Source organism: Homo sapiens, chromosome X (assembly GCF_000001405.40).
Source record: "Homo sapiens chromosome X, GRCh38.p14 Primary Assembly".
In the NCBI taxonomy this organism is placed as follows: Eukaryota; Metazoa; Chordata; class Mammalia; order Primates; family Hominidae; genus Homo; species Homo sapiens.
Genome location: NC_000023.11, coordinates 19400014 through 19420689, shown reverse-complemented (window position 1 = coordinate 19420689; position 20676 = coordinate 19400014). Strand labels below are relative to the sequence as shown.

Here is a 20676-nt window from a genome sequence, read left to right as displayed (position 1 = left end):
GGCCTCATAAAATGAGTTAGGGAGGATTCCCTCTTTTTCTATTGATTGGAATAGTTTCAGAAGGAATGGTACCAGCTCCTCATTGTACCTCTGGTAGAATTCGGCTGTGAATTCATCTGGTCCTGGACTTTTTTTGGTTGGTAAGCTATTATTGCCTCAATTTCAGAGCCTGTTATTGGTCTATTCAGAGATTCAACTTCTTCCTGGTTTAGTCTTGGGAGGGTGTATGTGTCGAGGAATTTATCCATTTCTTCTAGATTTTCTAGTTTATTTGCGTAGAGGTGTTTGTAGTATTCTCTGATGGTAGTTTGTATTTCTGTGGGATCAGTGGTGATATCCCCTTTATCATTTTTTATTGCATCTGTTTGATTCTTCTCTCTTTTCTTTATTAGTCTTGCTAGCAGTCTATCAATTTTGTTGATCTTTTCAAAAAACCAGCTCCTGGATTCATTGATTTTTTTGAAGGGTTTTTTGTGTCTCTATTTCCTTCAGTTCTGCTCTGATCTTAGTTATTTCTTGCCTTCTGCTAGCTTTTGAATGTGTTTGCTCTTGCTTCTCTAGTTCTTGTAATTGTGATGTTAGGGTGTCAATTTTGGATCTTCCTGCTTTCTCTTGTGGGCATTTAGTGCTATAAATTTCCCTCTACACACTACTTTGAATGTGTCCCAGAGATTCTGGTATGTTGTGTCTTTTTTCTCATTGGTTTCAAAGAACATCTTTATTTCTGCCTTCATTTCGTTATGTACCCAGTAGTCATTCAGGAGTAGGTTGTTCAGTTTCCATGTAGTTGAGCGGTTTTGAGTGAGTTTCTTAATCATGAGTACTAGTTTGATTGCACTGTGGTCTGAGAGAGAGTTTGTTATAATTTCTGTTCTTTCACATTTGCTAAGGAGTGCTTTACTTCCAACTATGTGGTCAATTTTGAAATAAGTGCAGTGTGGTGCTGAGAAGAATGTATATTCTGTTGATTTGGGGTGGAGAGTTCTGTAGATGTCTATTAGGTCTGCTTGGTGCAGAGCTGAGTTCAATTCCTGGATATCCTTGTTAACTTTCTGTCTCGTGGATCTGTCTAATGTTGACAGTGGGGTGTTAAAGTCTCCCATTATTATTGTGTGGGAGTCTAAGTCTCTTTGTAGGTCTCTAAGGACTTGCTTTATGAATGTGGGTGTTCCTGTATTGGGTGCATATATATTTAGGATAGTTAGCTCTTCTTGTTGAATTGATCCCTTTACCATTATGTAATGGCCTTCTTTGTCTCTTTTGATCTTTGTTGGTTTAAAGTCTGTTTTATCAGAGACTAGGATTGCAACCCCTGCCTTTTTTTGTTTTCCATTTGCTTGGTAGATCTTCCTCCATCCGTTTATTTTGAGCCTATGTGTGTCTCTGCACGTGAGATGGGTTTCCTGAATACAGCACACTGATGGGTCTTGACTCTTTATCCAATTTGCCAGTCTGTGTCTTTTAATTGGGGCATTTAGCCCATTTATATTTAAGGTTAAAATTGTTATGTGTGAATTTGATTCTGTCATTATGATGTTAGCTGGTTATTTTGCTCATTAGTTGATGCAGTTTCTTCCTAGCCTTGATGGTCTTTACAATTTGGCATGTTTTTGCAGTGGCTGGTACTGGTTGTTCCTTTCCATGTTTAGTGCTTCCTTCAGGAGCTCTTTTAGGGCAGGCCTGGTGGTGAGAAAATGTCTCAGCATTTGCTTGTCTGTAAAGGATTTTATTTCTCCTTCACTTATGAAGCTTAGTTTGGCTGGATATGAAATTCTGGGTTGAAAATTCTTTTCTTTAAGAATGTTGAATATTGGCCCCCACTCTCTTCTGGCTTGTAGAGTTTCTGCAGAGAGATCAGCTGTTAGTCTGATGGGCTTCCCTTTGTGGGTAACCTGACCTCTCTCTCTGGCTTCCCTTAACATTTTTTCCTTCATTTCAACTTTGGTGAATCTGACAATTATGTGTCTTGGAGTTGCTCTTCTCGAGGAGTATCTTTGTGGTGTTCTCTGTATTTCCTGAATTTGAATGTTGGCCTGCCTTGCTAGTTTGGGGAAGTTCTCCTAGATACTGTCCTGCAGAGTGTTTTCCAGCTTGGTTCCATTCTCTCTGTCACTTTCAGGTACACCAATCAGATGTAGATTTGGTCTTTTCACATAGTCCCATATTTCTTGGTGGCTTTGTTCGTTTATTTTTATTCTTTTTTTCTCTAAACTTCTCACTTCATTTCATTCATTTGATCTTCCATCACTGATACCCTTTCTTCCAGTTGATCGAATCGGCTACCGAGGCTTGTGCATTCATCACATAGTTCTTGTGCCTTGGTTTTCAGCTCCATCAGGTCCTTTAAGGACTTCTCTGCATTGGTTATTCTAGTTAGCCGTTTGTCTAATTTTTTTTCAAGGTTTTTAACTTCTTTGCCATGGGTTCGAACTTCCTCCTTTAGCTCGGAGTAGTTTGATTGTCTGAAGTCTTCTTCTCTTAACTCGTCAAAGTCATTCTCCGTCCAGCTTTGTTCCATTGCTGGTGAGGAGCTGCGTTCCTTTGGAGGAGGAGAGGTGCTCTGATTTTTAGAGTTTCCAGTTTTTCTGCTCTGTTTCTTCCCCATCTTTGTGGTTTTATCTACCTTTGGTCTTTGATGAAGGTGACGTACAGATGGGGTTTTGGTGTGGATGTCCTTTCTGTTTGTTAGTTTTCCTTCTAACACTCAGGACCCTCAGCTGCAGGTCTGTTGGAGTTTGCTGGAGGTCCACTCCAGACCCTGTTTGCCTGGGTATCAGCAGCAGAGGCTGCAGAACAGCGGATATTGGTGAACAGCAGATGTTGTTGCCTGATCATTCCTCTGGAAGTTTTGTCTCAGAGGAGTACCCAGCCGTGTGAGGTGTCAGTCTGCCCCTACTGGGGGGTGCCTCCCAGTTAGGCTACTTGGGGGTCAGGGACCCACTTGAGGAGGCAGTCTGTCCATTCTCAGATCTCGAGCTGCGTGCTGGGAGAACCACTACTCTCTTCAAAGCTGTCAGACCGGGACATTTAAGTCTGCAGAGGATTCTGATGCCTTTTGTCTGGCTGTGCCCTGCCCCCAGAGGTGGAGTCTAGAGAGGCAGGCAGGCCTCCTTGAGCTGAGGTGGGCTCCACCCAGTTCGAGCTTCCCGGAGGCTTTGTTTACCTACTCAAGCCTCGGCAGTGGTGGGCGCCCCTCCCCCAGCCTCACTGCCGCCTTGCAGTTTGATCTCAGACTGCTGTGCTAGCAATGAGTGAGGCTCTGGGCGTAGGACCCTCTGAGCCAGGCGCGGGATATAATCTCCTGGTGTGCCATTTGCTAAGACCATTGGAAAAGCGCAGTATTAGGGTGGGAGCGACCCGATTTTCCAGGTGCCGTCTGTCACCCCTTGCTTTGACTAGGAAAGGGAATTCCCTGACCCCTTGTGCTTCCCGGGTGAGGCAGTGCCTCGCCCTGCTTTAGCTCACGCTTGGTGCGCTGCACCCCCTGTCCTGCACCCACTTTCCAACACTCCCCAGTGAGATGTACCTGGTACCTCAGTTGGAAATGCAGAAATCACCCGTCTTCTGCATCGCTCATGCTGGGGGCTGTCGACTGGAGTTGTTCGTATTCAGCCATCTTGGCTCTACCAAAAACTGTACTATAGTTTTGTAAGATGCTACCATTGGAGTAAACCTGGTCAAAGATATATGGGTTCTCTCTGTATTGGTTCTTAGCACTTCATGTAAATCTAAAATTACCTCAAAATAACATGTTTAATTAAAAAGAAAATGAGTTTGAAATTTTGTCATTTTGTAATTGCTTTGAACTTTGAACTACAGCTGACCCTTGAACAATGTGGGAGTTAGGGGCTCAGTTGAAAATTCACCAAAAACTTAACTACGAATAGCCTACTGTTGACTGGAAGCCTTACCAATAACATAAACAATATTTTGTATTTTATATTTTGCAAAAAGTGCAGGATTTTCGCAACCACTGACAACTGCAGTGACGGCTTCATGAATTTCCTTTTCTGTTTCTCCTACGATTTTTAGGCTGGCTTCATTTATCTTGAAATGGCAGCAGCCGTAACTGCAGAACTCAATCTGCAATACATATCAAGCAATTCAACTTTTTCTGGTAATGTCATGACTTTTCTCGGCTTCTTGGGAGCATTTCCAGTATCACTAGTGGCACTCTCTATGGGTCCCATGGTGTTATTCATTGTTTATGGTGTCACACTAAATACAATGAAGAATGCACGAGAACCGTGAGTGATCACTTTTTACTATGATCTGCAATTTACTGGAGAGACGAACTTCTCATGCAAAAATGATCAGTCTCACACGGTGGAAGTTTTTTTTTTTTGGTTGTTTGTTTTTGAGACAGAGTCTCGCTCTGTTGCCCAGGCTGGAGTGCAGTGGCACAATCTCAGCTCACTGCAACCTCCGTCTCTCAGCTTCAAGCATTCCTTCTGCCTCAGCCTCCCAAGTAGTTGGGACTATAGACGCCTGCCACCGCATCCTGCTAATTTTTGTATTTTTAGTAGAGACAGGATTTCACCATGTTGGCCAGGCTGGTCTTGGACTCCTGACCTCAGGTCATCTGCCCACCTAGGCCTCCCAAAGTGCTGGGATTACAGGTGTGAGCCACCGCACCTGGCCACATGGTGGAGTTTTAAGCAGATACTTACAACAGGAGCTCACCACAATAGCAACAGGAGGTGGCTATGAAATTCTTACAGTAGTGCAGTATGCACTACAGTTAATTTTATGCAGTTTTGATATAATACCACATCTTTACATTTGTTTATATTTTTCTTGACTGGGAATGGTGCCATATACAGTCTGTAAGTGTGTGTGTAAGTTTTGGTACATTTTAACTTTTTGTAAGAGATTTGTATATATGTTGGGTAGTAAATGATAAAATGGACCAGTACCTACATATATTTTATGTGTTCATGGCATACCTAGCTTTTTCTAATTTTTTTTTTTATATTTCTAGGCTTCACAGTTTATCTGCAAAGTTTTTCAAATTGTCGCACGTCTCCAGAACATTTTCCAATGTATCTATTGGGAAAAAAAATCCATGTATAAGTGGAGCTGCGCAGTTCATACCTGTGTTGTTCAAGAGTCAGCTGTGCCTGCCCTTGTTATTTAAAACAGTTACCACATGCTTTCCAATCTCCACATTTTAGGCAGTAGGTACTAAAATTGGGGTTAGCACAATGTTGGTAAAAAGCCACGTTGTGTTATTTTGTTGGATGGACTTACTTTGCCTACTGCTCGTGTTTTCTTAATTAGTTTTGTGGCTGCTGAGCAGTCGTTTATGAAGCACTCATGACATAATATGAATTTAAGTGAATAAAAGCTTTTGGAAAGCTTCTTTTAAAGGGACTTGAATTGAATTCAGTTTCTTTAGGAATCCAATATATTGCTGTTTGTGATTTTTCCAGGTACCTGCGATCATTAGTTCAGAACTTGTTACTAATTCGGCGCTTCAAGAAAACCATTATTGAACACTCGCCCAGGCAAGAGCGGCTGAACTTCTGGTTAGATATAATTTTTGAGGCAACAAATGAAGTCACTAATGGACTCAGATTTCCAGTAAGATATGCTAAATCCATTTTTTTTTAAGATTAGGAAAAAAACTAGGGATTGGTGCTATTTAACTATTGAATACTCTGAACTGAAGAAAACTGTAGAGTAATTTTAAATGTTGGGATAAACATCAATCTTATGTGAAATCAGTAAGTGATAGATCAGCTCACTCATAGATCATTGGCCATATCCTCTATAGTAGTCATTCTCAATTGGAAGCAACTTTGTCCCCCTAAGGTACATCTGGTAATGTCCGGAGACATTTTTGGTGGTCATGACTTGGGGAGAAGGTGGCACTACTGGCATCTGCTGGATAGAGACCAGGGATGCTGTTGAACATCCCACAATGCACAGGACAGCCCCCTCCAATAAAGAATTATCCAGCCCAAAATGTCACTAGTGCCAAAGTGGACAAACTTTCCTCTAAAACAATGTAGCACCACGAGTGGAAACTTGGAATTCAGCGTGGTTTCCTGTTAAGCTTTGGTTTGCCTCTAAGGCCACTAATTGATATTTAAAAGTTACCAAAAAGGCAAAATTGCTTTTAGCTTTTCCTTGAGTTTTTGTTTTAATGTTATGACCGTCTTAGAGTCATGAGTGAAATATGTGAATGTCTTGGAAATTGAACTTCAGATAATTGTGTTCCATATTTATGCGTTGAGAATTTGTGAACATGCCATTTCCAAGAATTTCATTAAGCATCTAATAAAATATTGTTTGAAATGATTATGATAATTATTTTGTTGCCGGTTAATAATACATTTTAAAATCTTTTTTTAGTTATGAAATATTTCAAACCTACTGAAAGGTACAAAAAAATAATGGAGCAGACAACCGCGTAATCTCTAACCAGGTTTAGTGATCTTAAACATGTTGTTTTATTTGTTTTGGAGATTTATTCCCTCTCTCCCTCCTCATCTCACCCCTCCTCTTTCTCTTCCCCTCCTCTTTTTTTTTTTTTTTTCTTTTTTTGAGACGGAGTCTCGTGCAGTGGTGCAACCTCGGCTCACTGCAACCTCCGCCTCCTGGGTTCAAGTGATTCTCCTGCCTCAGCCTCCTGAGTAGCTGGGATTACAGGTGTATACCACCACACCCATCTAATTTTTGTATTTTTAGTAGAGACAGGGCTTCACCACGTTGGCCAGGCTGGTCTCGAACTCCTGACCTCAAGTGATCCGCCTGCTTTGGCCTCCCAAAGTGCCCTCCTCCTTCTCTCCCGATTTTCTTCCTTTGGCCTCCTTCTTCTCTCCTTTTCCCCTTTTCTCTTTTTCGTCCCCTTCTGTTCTTTCTCCCCACCTTTTCTCTCCCCACTCTCCTCCTCCTCACCCTCTTCTCCCTCTCTCCCCTCCCCTCCTCTCTTTTAACAAAGTAACACCTTACTGATGGGCTATCACCTCTTTTTTTATCTCCTTTCATCTTCCCCACCCCCCCCCCCAAGAGATGGCATCTCAATATGTTGTCCTTGAACTCCTGGGCTCAAGTGATCCTCCGACCTCAACCTCCCAAAGTGCTGGGATTACAGGCGTGAGCCACTGTGCCTGGCCCTCAGTGAGGATATATTGAGTACGGACCTCCCCGCCTCCTCGCTGGGCAGGGTGCGCTATGTTTTCTACCCATGTACGTTAACAGGCATCTGTTCTTGTTTCAGGTTCTGGTCATAGAGCCAACCAAAGTGTACCAGCCTTCTTATGTTTCCATAAACAATGAAGCCGAGGAGAGAACAGTTTCTTTATGGCATGTCTCACCCACAGAAATGGTAAGGAGGAAAAATCACAAGCAATTTAATCAGTTTTCAAATAGGAGAGTCTAGATGGTAGTATTTGAAGGAAAAGGCACCCATGTTTAACTTCTGAATTATGAGAATATATGAGAGAGTATCATCACAGATGAGAGACAGTAGGTTTTTCCATTTTGTGTGTGTGTGGGCATGTGTGTGTGTGGGCATGTGGTGAGGTGTGGGGGTGGGGGAGTGTGTGTGTGTGTGTGTGTGTGTGTGTGTATAAAAACATTAAAACAAATACAGGTTGGTTTGTTTTTTTATAGTTAAACCTTAGGGAAGTGGGTAGAGGATACAGGCTGGTGTGTTGTTTCACAGCTGTAGTCCCAACACTTTTGGAGGCCAAGGCAGGCGGGTTGCTTGAGCCCAGGAGTTCAAGACCAGCCTGGGTGACACATCAAAACCCCGTCTCTATAAAAAATAAATTTAAAAAATTAGCCGGGTGTGGTGGTGCACACCTGTAGTCCCAACTACTTGGGAGGCTGAAGTGGGAGGATCGCTTGAACCTGGGAGGTCGAGGCCACAGTGAGCTATCATTGCACCACTGCACTCGAGCCTGGGCAACAGTGAGACCCTGTCTCTAGAAAAATAAAATAGTAATATATTTTTAGAAGCACTTATACTGGCTTTCTTGATATTCCTCAACTATTACTGGATCCTGTGGCTTTCCAGATAAAACTCAGACTCTTTTACTAAGTGTTCAAGTCCCTCCCTATATAATCCTGCCCCCTCCCTTCCTCTTTCTCTTCAGCCCTCAGTGCCAGTCAGGCTGTCCTCTTACTCGCCCCTGAGCTGTCCCTGCGGGAGCTCCTGTCTACCCTTTCATTTCCATCCTTGTTCCTTTTGGGATTTCCTTCTTCCGATTATCCAAGTCCTAGCTTTTGCAAAGTCATCTTTAACCACTCCTTCATTCCTTCCGCTGAGTGTCTGTAGGCTACCAATTGCCTGTATCATGCACAGAAGAACATCCTAAGAATGCCCATACATGACTTGTATGTTTGTAGCTGTAGGAGCTATGGAACAGTTACCCACTCCTGAACAAATGCCTGTTGATTATTACATAAAATGTGTTGTTTACTTAACTAGTAAATGTTCCTCCCAAATCAAGAAGTTCTCTAAAGCCACCGTGGAATAGACCTGCCATTGGGGAAGTCTTTGGAAACTCATGTGGCTAAGCTTTCTGTATATGTGCAGCCTCCTGCAGGTGGCTGTGGGTTAGACAAGACTCTTGAGTCTGCCCTGGCTCCCATTTCTGTGCCTGAATCCAAAGGCCGACTCCTGCTGTCTGCCACTATCCTCTCTGCATGACTTTGGACTCATGTCTCCTCTGAAGTACACTTAGCCTTTCTATGCAGTTGGATGTGATTTGCTGGCTTTCATATTCTCCTACCCTCTTATGAGAAGCCTCCAGTGGCTTCCTGTCTCACGCAGAGTCAAAGCTGACATCCCGAGGGTGGCCTAGAAGTCCTGCATGATTTGCCCATGAGCTCTCCAACCTCCTCTTCTACTCCCATCCCGCTCACTCCACTGTAGCCATATTTGCCTCTTTGTTGGTCCCCGAACGTGCCAGGCACACCCCTCCTCAGGGCCTTTGCACTTGCTGTTCCCTCTGCCTGGAACTCTTCCCCCAGGCATCCACGTGGCTTCCTTCTTCCCCCACTTTAGCTTTCTGTTCAGAAGTCATCAGCGACGCCTACCCTGAACATCCTGTTGAACAACGTGACCCCCTGCCCTATCTTAATGCCCTTCCCTACTTTATTTGTCTTCATAACACTTTTCACCGCCCCCCATGGTATGATTTTACTATTTAATCTATTGTCCATCTCTCTTCACTCACATGCAAGGCCCATGAGGGCAGGAACTTTGTGGTTCTCTGCTGTGTCTTCAGTATTAGTACTTTGCCTAGCACATACATAGTAGGTGCTTGATCAACACGTATGACTAAAACTTCTCCCATCGGAAACCATCTTCCCAGTCTGTTCCTGTTGTCATTGCTCCAGGATGGCAAGAAACTAGTCATGTGCCTATTCATGGCAGTTCTCTTGAGCCAAATGCTCAGTCACATGGTTCTCATACTTTTCTTCCCTGGGTGGCTTAGTTGGTCACTTGTGACATTCCTCAGGCCAACCAAATGGAATTTTTTTTTTTTTTTGAGGCAGGGTCTCATTCTGTCACCTAGGCTGGAGTGCAGTGGAGTGATTTTGGCTCACTGGAACCTCTGCCTCCCAGGTTCAACTGATTGTCCCATCTCAGCCTCCTGAGTTGCTGGGACTACAGGCGTGTGCTACCATGCTCAGCTCATTTTTGTATTTTTAGTAGAGACGGGGTTTCAGCATGTTGGCCAGGCTGATCTCGAACTCCTGACCTCAAGTGATCGCCCCCACACCTCGGCCTCCCAGAGCGCTGGGATTACAGGTGTAAGCCACCACGCCTGGCCCAAATGGATTTTCCTACTTAAAATTATTTTCTGCAATTGTGATGTATTGATGTTATTGCCTATGGATTTTCCAAAACTGGAGTTTCAGATGTTCCTTCTCAGGCTTAGCTTTGTGCAAAGTGTAGTGGTAGTGAAGGGAGGGGACCGAGTTAGTTTTTGTTTGTAAGTGCAACTTGGGTGCTGTTTGAAATCCCAGTTAGTTTTTTTATTAGTCATGGTAGGCTAGCTTCTAAAACAAACAGCCCCCAAATCTCAATATCTTAACATGATAAAAGTTTATCTATGCCTCATGTCATATCCAGGTTGCAGAGGGTGGCGGTGGGGGGCATTCCATCTTGCAGTGGATGGGGAAAGAGGAAATAGAGGGTTGCTGTGGAGTTTTTGAGTCAGGCCTGCAGGTGATGCACAGCATTCCTGCTCACATCCCATTGGCCAAAACTCCACTGTATATCTCTCTAGCTGCAAGGGAGGCTGGGAATTGTAGTTCAGCTCTATGTTCAGGGAGAAAAGGAAGACTGATGAATGCTGAAAGGTGTCTGTCGCAGTCTTGCCTCTCCCAACATTTTTGCAAGTCACTCAACTTAGGTGGGCTAGTCCCATGCTTGTTTTAGAGTTTGCCTACTATGTTGACAGAAGATGAAAAGCCACTCACTGTGTGTTTATTCTATGCTTATTATTTCTATCTGAAACTTAGATTATTTCAAATTTACATCATTTAAACTGGATTAGAGATACAAATGAATTTTTATAATACATAAGAAAATGTTTCTGGTGTTCCATGTTATACAAGGTGTATTGCTGTAACCCGTAAAAAAATCACCACTGCAGGTAAAATAGCAGAAATGATTGACCATAGAATGAAACAAAAAAAATCATTTGCTTTAAAAAACTCAAACTATTGACTTCTGTCTTTGATAACTTGCAGAAACAGATGCACGAATGGAATTTTACAGCCTCTTCCATAAAGGGAATAAGGTAAGAACATAGGAGAAAATGGAGTTACTATTTTAATGCAAATGATGATAATGTTTTATGCACTTTAATGTTTCCACTTACTCATAATATGGAATGTTCTTATTTTTAATGGAATCCAAAGTGGACTCTCTATTATGTTGTCCTTCCTGAGCTAGTTATTAATACTAGTGTACTCCTAGTGAGAACTTCTTGGGTTATTATAATAGAGTAGCTTTGCTCATATTCAGCAGACTAAACTCACTTGTGCCATTTTTTTTAAAGAAGTGATCGGTAGGAAGAGAAGATGTATCTTTTTTGAGCCAAAGATGTTCAAGTGCTCAGTGACTCTGAGAACTGAAGCCAGGAGATGATTAGTGGCAACACTCGGGTTGGGGTCTTGTGAACAGAGTAATGGAGCTGGGAGATTTTTTTCAGGGAGGGCATGAGGTGGTGTATTCTCGGGAGAGGAGTAGCTCTTGCATTTTGGTTCAGGAGTGATGACAGTTTGAGCCTGAGCTGTGTGGCCTTACCCAAGCAGGGCTAAACATCTCAGCTGCACTTGTCACCCTGGCAGCTCATTCGAGGGTGAGACTGGCTGTGAAGTAGATGTGAGTTCTAATCTCTCTTTGCTGGGTGATGTTAGGAAAGTCACTCAGCTTCTCTAAGTCTCAGTTTCTTCCCTATTTTCTTCAAATAAAGGGCTTGTACTAGAACATTCCTTTCTCTGACTCTGAGGCTACCTCAGCCACTGAATGAATCCCCAGTTACTTCTAGACATAGTGTGATCCTGTCCTGGAAACATCAGTATTGAAATTAGGATACCATCAACATCACTTAAAAGGAGGGAAATAATTTAAGTACAAAGTAGTGCATTGGGATGATACTGCCCAGGAAATACAAGGCAATTTGAAATACACTCAGCAAAGCATACACAAAGCAGCAGAAAAGGGAATAAAATATGGTCTCTGTCCTCAAGGAGTTTATAGTCTCATGAAAAGGAAAGGTAAGGTATTTGAGAAATAATTTATTGTGGTATTACAAGAATTTCTAGACTCGGAAAATATCAGGACACAGTATTTGTGGCCACACGAGGGAAATGGAAATAAACACGGCACTGTAGCTCAAGAAAGGCCTTTCTTTAAATGTTATCTGGTCCATCTCCACCCAGTGTGTGTACCTGACTCTACAGCTCATCCAGCAAGCAATATTCAGCTTGCCTGAGCATAGCTAGTGACAGAAAATCTGCTAGTAAAATATGTATTTTTATTTTTTAAATTATTTTATTTTATTTTATTTTTTTGTCTTGCTCTGTCACCCAGGCTGGAGTACAGTGGCACGATCTCGGCTCACTGCAACCTCTGCCTCCCAGGTTCAAGCGATTCTCCTGCCTCAGCCTCCAGAGTAGCTGGGACTACAGGTGTGTGGCACAATGCCTGGCTGATTTTTGTATTTTTTGTAGAGTCAGGGTTTTGCCATGTTGGTCAGGCTGGTCTCGAACTCCTGACCTCAAGTGATCCGCCCGCGTCAGCCTCCCAAAATGCTAGGATTACAGGCATGAGCCACTGTGCCTTGTGAAGATTTTCAAAAATGTGTTACTTAGTAATTAAGTTGTGTTAGAGCAGGTAGTCAAGATCCTTCTGTTTGTGCCTCCTCATAGAGATACCTCTAGGTGCCATTTCAGCCATCAGTGGGGATTTACAAAGGGCCTGAGGGCGTATCATCCTCGCCCCACCCCTCCCCGGGACCCATGTGACCTGAAGAGTATACTTTGAGCGTTCCAGAGGCTCTCCAACTAACTGTGGTGGTTGCTTTACAGATTGATTTTCAAAACCTGCTCACTTATAATCTAGTTCTAATTCTTTTTGAATCTCCTCTGTACTCTTGGTGTTCCAACCCAGTGTTTGTCATGCAATCTATAACATAAAGAATGGTCTAGGACAGTTTGGATCTCAGCAAGAGATAACTTAGAAAGGATGAGATAAAGTGGCTTCAGTTGTTTGAAGGGACAATGATAGAAGAGAATCTAGCCTTCCTCTCCATAATACCTCCTGGCATGAGGGCCACTGCTCTCTGACATACAATCTACTAGCAGATTTCCTGTCACTGGCTATGTCCAGGCAAGCTGAATATTGCTTGTTGGATGAGCTGTAGAATCAGGTACAGACCCTGGGTGGAGATGGACCAGATAACAAACATTTAAAGGCCTTTCTTGAGCTACAGTGCCATGTTTATTTCCATTTCCCTTGTGTGGCCACAAATACTGTGTCCTGATACTTTCCGAATCTAGAAATTCCCTTAATACCACAATAAATTATTTCACAAATACCTTGCCTTTCTTTTTCATGAGATTATAAGCCCCTTGAGGACAGAGAACCATATTTTATTCCCCTTTCTGTTGCCCGTATGCTTTGCTTAGCACTGAATTATATTAAGAGTAAGTTCATATTAAGGTCAGTTGATAAATACAAACTCAAATATAAGCAAGATAAATGTCTCTGGTATTTAAATTTCATAGAGAAATAAAAGGCAGACTCGGGGGGTGTTTGTTTAAAACATTAATGAATCTTTCAGGAATTGATAAAATAGAAGAAAAGATTGTCTTGCAGATTTAGAGTGGGTATCATAACTTATGTATAAACATTATGCTTTGAAATTTTACAGCCTATCAAAGTTTGATGAAAGGTGTTGTTTTCTTTATGTCCATGATAATTCTGATGACTTTCAAATCTACTTTTCCACCGAAGAGCAGTGCAGTAGGTGAGTTACAGCCAATTCAGGTATTTGCAATGTAATTATGGCGAATCATTTTTAAAGGGCCTTTGTTCTGAAAGATATTTACTTGCTATTACTGTCTTTCTTGAAATGTTAACTTACATCTCAAAAAAGCTCTAAAATTTCTGTAATTCACATAGCAGGTAATTCAGCCATTTAAAATACACAACTTGGCCAGGTGCAGTAGCTCACGCCTGTAATCTCAGCACTTTGGGAGGCTGAGGAGGGTGGATCACCTGAGGTTAGGAGTTTGAGACCAGCCTGACCAACATGGAGAAACCCTGCCTCTACTAAAAATACAAAATTAGCCGGGTGTGGTGGCGCATGCCTGTAATCCCAGCTACTTGAGAGGCTGAGGCAGGAGAATCACTTGAACCCGGGAAGTGGAGGTTGCAGTGAGCTGAGATTGTGCCATTGCACCCCAGCCTGGGGAACAAGAGCGAAACTCCACTTCAAAAAAATAAATAACATAACATTCAGCATTTTTTAGTATAGTCATAGTTTTCCAACCAACACCATAATCTAGTTTTAGAATATTTTCGTCACCCCCACAAGAAACACACTATCCATAGAGTCATTCCTCATTCCCTCAACCTCGCCCCATCTTGGCCCCAGCCCTAGGTAACCATTAATCTTTGTGTCTCTATGGCTCTGCCTATTCTGGCCATTTCATATAAGTGGAATCATACAGTATGTGGTCTCTTGTGACTGGCTTCTTTCACTTAGCGTAATTTTTTTAAGGTTTATCCATGTGTAACACGTATCAGTACTTCATTTCTTTTTGTGGCTGAATGATATTCTTTTGTATGGCTATACCACAGTTTATCTGTTTTTCAGCCAATAGGCATTTGGATTGTTTGCACTTTTTGACAATTATGAATTGTACTTCCCTGAACATTCACGTGCAAGTATTTGTGAGGACATGTTTTTATTTCTCTTGGAGTCAAATTGCTGGGTCTTATGGTAACTCTACGTTTAACCTTTTGAGGAACTGCCAGACCATTTTCCCATTTTATATTCCCATTAGCAATGTATGTGGCTTCCAATTTCTCCACGTCCTTGCCAACACTAGTTATTATCTGTCTTTTGAGTATTGTAATCCTAGTGGATGTGAGGTGGGATCTCATTGTGGTTTTGATTCGCATTTTCCTGACGACTAATGATACTGAGCATCATTTCATGTGCTTATTGGCCATTTATATACCTCTGGAGAAATGTCTATTCAAATTCTTAGTCCAATTAAAAAAATTAAACTTTTTATTTTTGAAAATATTTACAGCCATAGGAAAGTTTCAAAATACAATACAAAGAATTTCCATATACGTTTCACACAGAATTTCTCAGGGTTTACCCCTTACCACATTGGTTTTACATTCTCGCTCTATGCATATGGTTATTTTTTCTGAACTGTTTAAAAGTAAGTTGTAGACAATGCTCCATTACCTGTAAATACTTGAGTGTATTTCGTAAAAACAAGGATACTGACTTGTGTAATTACAGTACAGTTATCTAATGAGGAAATTAAGATAGATATAGTACTATAATCTACAACATTTATCCAAATTTTACTTAGTGTCCCAATGATGTCTTTTATAGCAAAACAAAAGGTTTTTCCTCTGGTCCACGTTCCAATCCAGGATCACATGTTGCATTGAGTTGTCACGTCTGCATAGTCTCCTTTCACCTGAAAGAGTTCATCATCAGTCTTTGTCTTTTTTGACTTAATACTTTCCAAGAGTACAGACAGTTTATTTTGGGTAGTCCTTTGACTTGGATTTGTTTATCGTTTCCTCATGAGTACACTGATGTTATGTATTTGGCAGGAATATCACAGAAATGATGTTGTGTCCTTCTCAGTGCCTCATAACAAGGGACACAATATTTCTGTGTCATCATTGGTGATGTTAACGTGGATCATCTGGTGAAAGTGGTGTTTGCCAGCTATCTCCAAACTTTGCCCACTTATAATTGGGTTATTTATCATTTTATTATTGATTTTAAGAGTGATATATACATATATATGTGATATATTTTTTCTCTATGTAAGTTCTTTATCAGATATGATTTGCAAATGCTTTTTCCCATCCTGTAGGTTGTCTTTTCACTCTCTCGATGGTATCACTTGCAGCACGAAAGTTTTTAATTTGGATGAAGTACAACTTACCTATTTATTTCTTTTGTCATTTGTGCCTTTGGCTCTTGTCTTAGAAGCTTTGTCTAGCCTGAGGTGTTCTATGGTTTTTATGTTTTCTTCCAAGAGTTTTATAGTTTTAACTTTTATATGTTTAGGTTTTTGACCCATTTTGAATTCATTTTTGGATGTGGTGTAAGGTAGGGGTTCCAACTTTATTCTTTAACGTGGATATGTGGTTGTCCTAGCACCATTTGTTGAAAAGACTATTCTTGAAAAGACTATTCTTTCCCTGATTGAGTGGTCTTGGTACTCTTTTTGGAAATCAGTTGACCACAAATGTAGGAGTTTATTTCTGGACTCTCAATTCCGTTCCATTGTTTTGTATGTCTATTCTTAATGCAAGCACCATGCTTTCTCTATTACTGTAGCTTTGTAGTAAGTTGTAAAATCAGGAAATGTGAGCCCTCCAACTTCGTTCTTGTTTTTCAAGATTGTTTTGGTTATTGTGGATGCTTGCATTTCCACGTAAATATTAGGATCAGCTTATCAATTTCTGTAGAAAAATGGCAGCTAGGACTTTGACAGGGAATACGTTGGATATCTAGATCAATTTGGAGAGCATTGCCATATTAACCATCCTGGCTTCCAATCCATGAACACAAGATGGATTTCTATTTACTTAGGTTTTCTTGAATTTCTTTCAATGATAGTTTTGTAGTTTCAGTGTACAAATTTTGTACTTCTTTTATTAAGTACATACCTAAGGATTTTATTATTTTGATACTGGAGTTTTTTTAATTTCACTTTTGGATGTTCACTGATAATGTATTAGAAATACACTTGAGTTGTAAATGTTGATTTTGTAACTTACAACCTTGCTGAACTCATGTATTAGCTCTAATGGGTTTTATTGAATTCCTTAGGGTTTTCTATGTGCAATATCATGTCATCTGCAGATACAGTTTTAGTTTTTCCTTTCCAACCTAGATGCCTTTATTTTCCTTGCCTAATTATCCTAGCTAGACTCTCCAGCACAATGTGGAATAGAAATAGGGAGAGTAGACATCTTTATTTTGTTCCTGTTTTTAAGAAGAAAGAAGTTAGTCTTTCATCATTAAGTATGATGTTAGCAGCAGATTTTTCATAGATAACCTTTATCAGATTGAGGAAGTTCCCTTTATTCATAGTTCATTTGTATCATGTAATTTGAGAAAGTCTTAATTCATTGTGTCTCAGACAATCATTGTCACAACATATTTAAAGATTAGGCTAGGCTGGGTGTGGTGGCTGATGCCTGTAATCCTAGCACTTTGGGAGGCTGAGGAAGGAGGATTGCTTGAGTGGGCAGTTCGAGACCAGCCTGGGCGACATGGTAAAACCCCGTCTCTGCAAAAAGTACAAAAAAAAAAAAAATTAGCTCAGCATGGTGACATACACCTGTAGTCCCAGCTACTCAGGAGGCAGAAGTGGGAGGATCACCTGAGCCTGGGAGGTTGAGGCTGTGGTGAGTGGTGATCATGCCACTGCACTCCAGCCTGGGCGACAGAGCAAGATCCTGTCAAAAAAAAAAAAAAAAAAGAATAGAATAAATAGCAGACTAGGGAATCATTGGATCATAACCTTCAATTTACAGTAGAAAAAATGCTGCCAAATATAAATTGGTGTAAAAGTAATTGCAGTTTTTGCCATTAAAAACCTAATATTAAGCAGAACATCCTTTTACTACTACAAAATGTGCCCTTTTGACCCTCATTCAGTACTCAGTGCCTTTTTTTAAAAATACATTTTAATAATTTTTTTATTGATGTGTAACGTATAAACAAGTTTGTAATGTGCACTTAAGTGTACAGCTTGATAAATTTTGATACATATATACATTCTTGTACCTGCCTCCCAGATCAGCACCCCAGAAGTTGCTTTGTGCCCCTTCACAGTCATTAAACTCCCTCCAGTGATAACTGTTTTGATTTTTACCACCAATGGTTAGTTTCACCTGTTCTTGACCTACAAATAAACAGAATCATGTAGTTTGTACCCTTGTTTCTCACCTCTTTCCCTTAAAATAATATTCATAGCTGGGCACGGTGGCCCACACCTGTAATCCCAGCACTTTGGGAGGCCAAGGCAGGAGGATCGGTTGATCCCAGGAGTTCAAGACCAGCCTGGGCAACACAGGGAGACCCTCGTCTCTACAAAAAATAAAAAAATTAGCTGGGCGTGGTGGTGTGCGCCTCCAGTCCCAGCTACTTGGGAGGATGAGGTGGGAGGATTGCTTGAGCCTGTGAGGTCGAGACTGCAGTGAACCATGATCACGCCACTGCACTCCAGGCTAGGTGACAGAGTGATACCCCATCTCAAAAACAAGAAACAAAATGAAATCCAACTGTGAAGTATATATCAGTTCATTCTTTCTCTGTGTAGCATTCCGTTGTGTTCCAATTTATCTGTTCTTCTATTAATGAAGACTTGGATTGTTTCTGTTTGGGGGTTATTATGAAGAAAATGACTATGAACATTCTTATATATGCCTTTTGGTGAACATATATATTGATTTCTATTGAGTATATATCTAGGAGTGGATTACTGGATTATAGGGTAGGTTTATCTTCAGCTTTGGTTGTTGATACTGCCAAGAGTTTTCCAAAGTGGTCATGTCAATTTACACTCCCACTAGCAATGTATGAGAGTCCCAGTTGTTCCGTATTCTTAAGAACAGTTGATATCATCTTTTATTTTTTTTCTGTTGAGACAGAGTCTTGCTCTTTTGCCCAGCTGGAGTGCAGTGGCGCAGTCTTGGCTCACTGCAACCTCTGCCTCCCGGTCTCAAGCAATCTTCCTACCTCAGTCTCCTGAGTAGCTGGGACTACAGGTGTGTGCCACCACACCTGGCTAATTTAAAAAAAAAAAAAAATTGTAGAAACGGGGTTTCGGCCACGTTGCCCAGGTTGGTCTCGAACTCCTGGCCTCAAGCAGTCTTCCCGCTTCAGTCTCCCAAAGTGCTAAGATTACAGGCATGAGCCACTACACCTGGCTGATACCGTCTTTTAAATCTTAGTTGTTCTGTGAGTGCATACCATATGTCTCTTAAGAAGCCTGACGATTGGGTTATCCAGCTTTCAAAGATTAGAAGAAAAGGTAAGATGGGTTAGTTAGAAAAAAGAGCATTTTAATGGTTTATGGAAATTATCCTGAAATGTACAGTATTCCTCCTTGACATCTTAAGAGAGAATTGTGAGTAAAAATGTTCTAATGAGTCAAGATGACTTGTATCCAAATAAAAACTGCACAAGTCTAGGAAGTGGCCCACGTGGCCCAGTAGAATTTGTGAGAAAGATTTATGGGTCAATATTAAGCTTGTTCTGTGTCAGCAGAATGATGTGGCCACCTTATGCGTTTCCTCCTCACCATTCCCCTTATACAACACCCTGTATCTTACTGAGAACTAGATTGTCTGTACTTTGAGAGGCAATAGTCCCCCTATCCTTAGCATTGATTAGATCCCCTCTGAACACTGGTCTTGGGGCCAGACTTCAAGAATAATACAAGAGGCTGGGTGCGGGGGCTCATGCCTCCCAACACTTTCGGAGGCCGTGGTGGGAGAATCATTTGAGTCCAGGAGTTTGAGACCAAGCTGGGCAACATAGTGAGACCCCGTCTACAAAAAATACAAAAATTAGCCGGGCTTGGTGATGGGTGCCTGTAGTCTCAGCTGCTTGAGAGGCTGAGGTGGGAGGATTGCTTGAGCTCAGGAGGCTGGCTGAGGCTGCATTGAGCTGTGATCACATCACTGCACTCCAGCCTGGGCGACAGAGCGAGACCCTGTCTTTAAAAAAAAAAAGAAAAAGAGTAACACAGGGACGTCATCTGAAGAATTACCTGCTAGTAGAGTAACTCACACGTCCTGGGGAAAACAGTGATGGGACAGAAAGGAAAGACTTATAGGGACATGGTAAAATTATGTGCACTTCTAATGGGGTGTTAAGTAGAAAAATGGTTAATTCTAAGCAAACTGTGGATGGAACCCACATGAAAGAAGTCTTTGGTTCAGTAAAAGGGAAATATTTCTCATTAAGATCTTCCAAGAATGAGCTGTCTTTGGGAGGTAATGAGTTCTCTGTTGCTGGAGGTACTCAAGCATCAATTGGTCAACCAGTTGGTGGAGATACTATACAGAGGGGATTCAGGTATCACATTGGTAGTTGCCCTAGATTTGATAACCACTAAAGTACCACGTCAAATCAAGGAGGGGATCGATTGTTCCATGACTTGTAAAAGTTTGGTTTATATTTAAGTACAGTTTAATAAAGCTAAGTTAAAAACAAGGAATGAGAGCAGTTCTGAGTTGGCAACGTATTTGTGACACTTGCTGTTCTAGATTTTTCTCTTTGGTCAAAGAGATGATAACCAATACAGCAGGCAGTACGGTGGAGCTGGAGGGAGAGACCGATGGAGACACCTTGGAGGTGAGTCATGGACGATCTAGAATATGGAAAACATTGATTGTGTGTTCGATGCTTCAAGAAAATGTCCCATCTTTCTATAAAAATCCTCTGTTGAGTATGTTTTATGAACCTGCCAGCCATCACTGCATGGTTCCCAGAGATAATGTTGAATGTGTCTCCAGAGAAGAATCTCATTTCTTTGGGATTCTCTCAGTTAGAATGCTTAAGAAAAATTTGGCCATGGACTAGACTAAAATTTCCTTTTGTGAACAACCTATGAAAGTTTTCTCTAGGCTAATTAGTAATGTCTGTGAGACTACAAGAGAATTAGTTGGCCAACTGAGAGCAGACGTTTTATGCTTAAAATGACTTTAGTTATAGCTATGTGCATATACTATATGAAATATAACAACTTTAAAATCATTTTAAAAAGTAGGCTCATCAGCTCTTTTTAACAGCACAGTTATAGTCCACAGTTGCTAAACCATTGTACAGGTGTTTAAATCTTGCCCAGTTATTCAGATTTGCCACTCACTCAGGTTCTTCCAGTGATTACAATTTAATGAGATTTTACTGTACTTTC

At 41.3% G+C, this 20676-nt stretch overlaps 1 protein-coding gene across 7 annotated transcripts in view; it reads left to right on the top strand.

The window, feature by feature from the left end:
• The window catches only part of MAP3K15 (mitogen-activated protein kinase kinase kinase 15), a 155450-nt gene that overhangs the window by 94819 nt on the left and 39955 nt on the right, over positions 1 to 20676 (top strand). For 6 of the 7 annotated variants that reach the window (XR_007068188.1, NM_001001671.4, XM_011545508.4 and 3 more), the window contains 5 exons: positions 5433 to 5583; positions 7226 to 7333; positions 10717 to 10766; positions 13407 to 13502; positions 20027 to 20114. Coding sequence is in view for 6 of the 7 variants with exons in the window: in NM_001001671.4 (NP_001001671.3) it covers positions 5433 to 5583; positions 7226 to 7333; positions 10717 to 10766; positions 13407 to 13502; positions 20027 to 20114 (493 nt within the window). In the remaining variant the exon portion in view is untranslated. The other variant, XM_011545511.2, reaches the window with a different exon arrangement.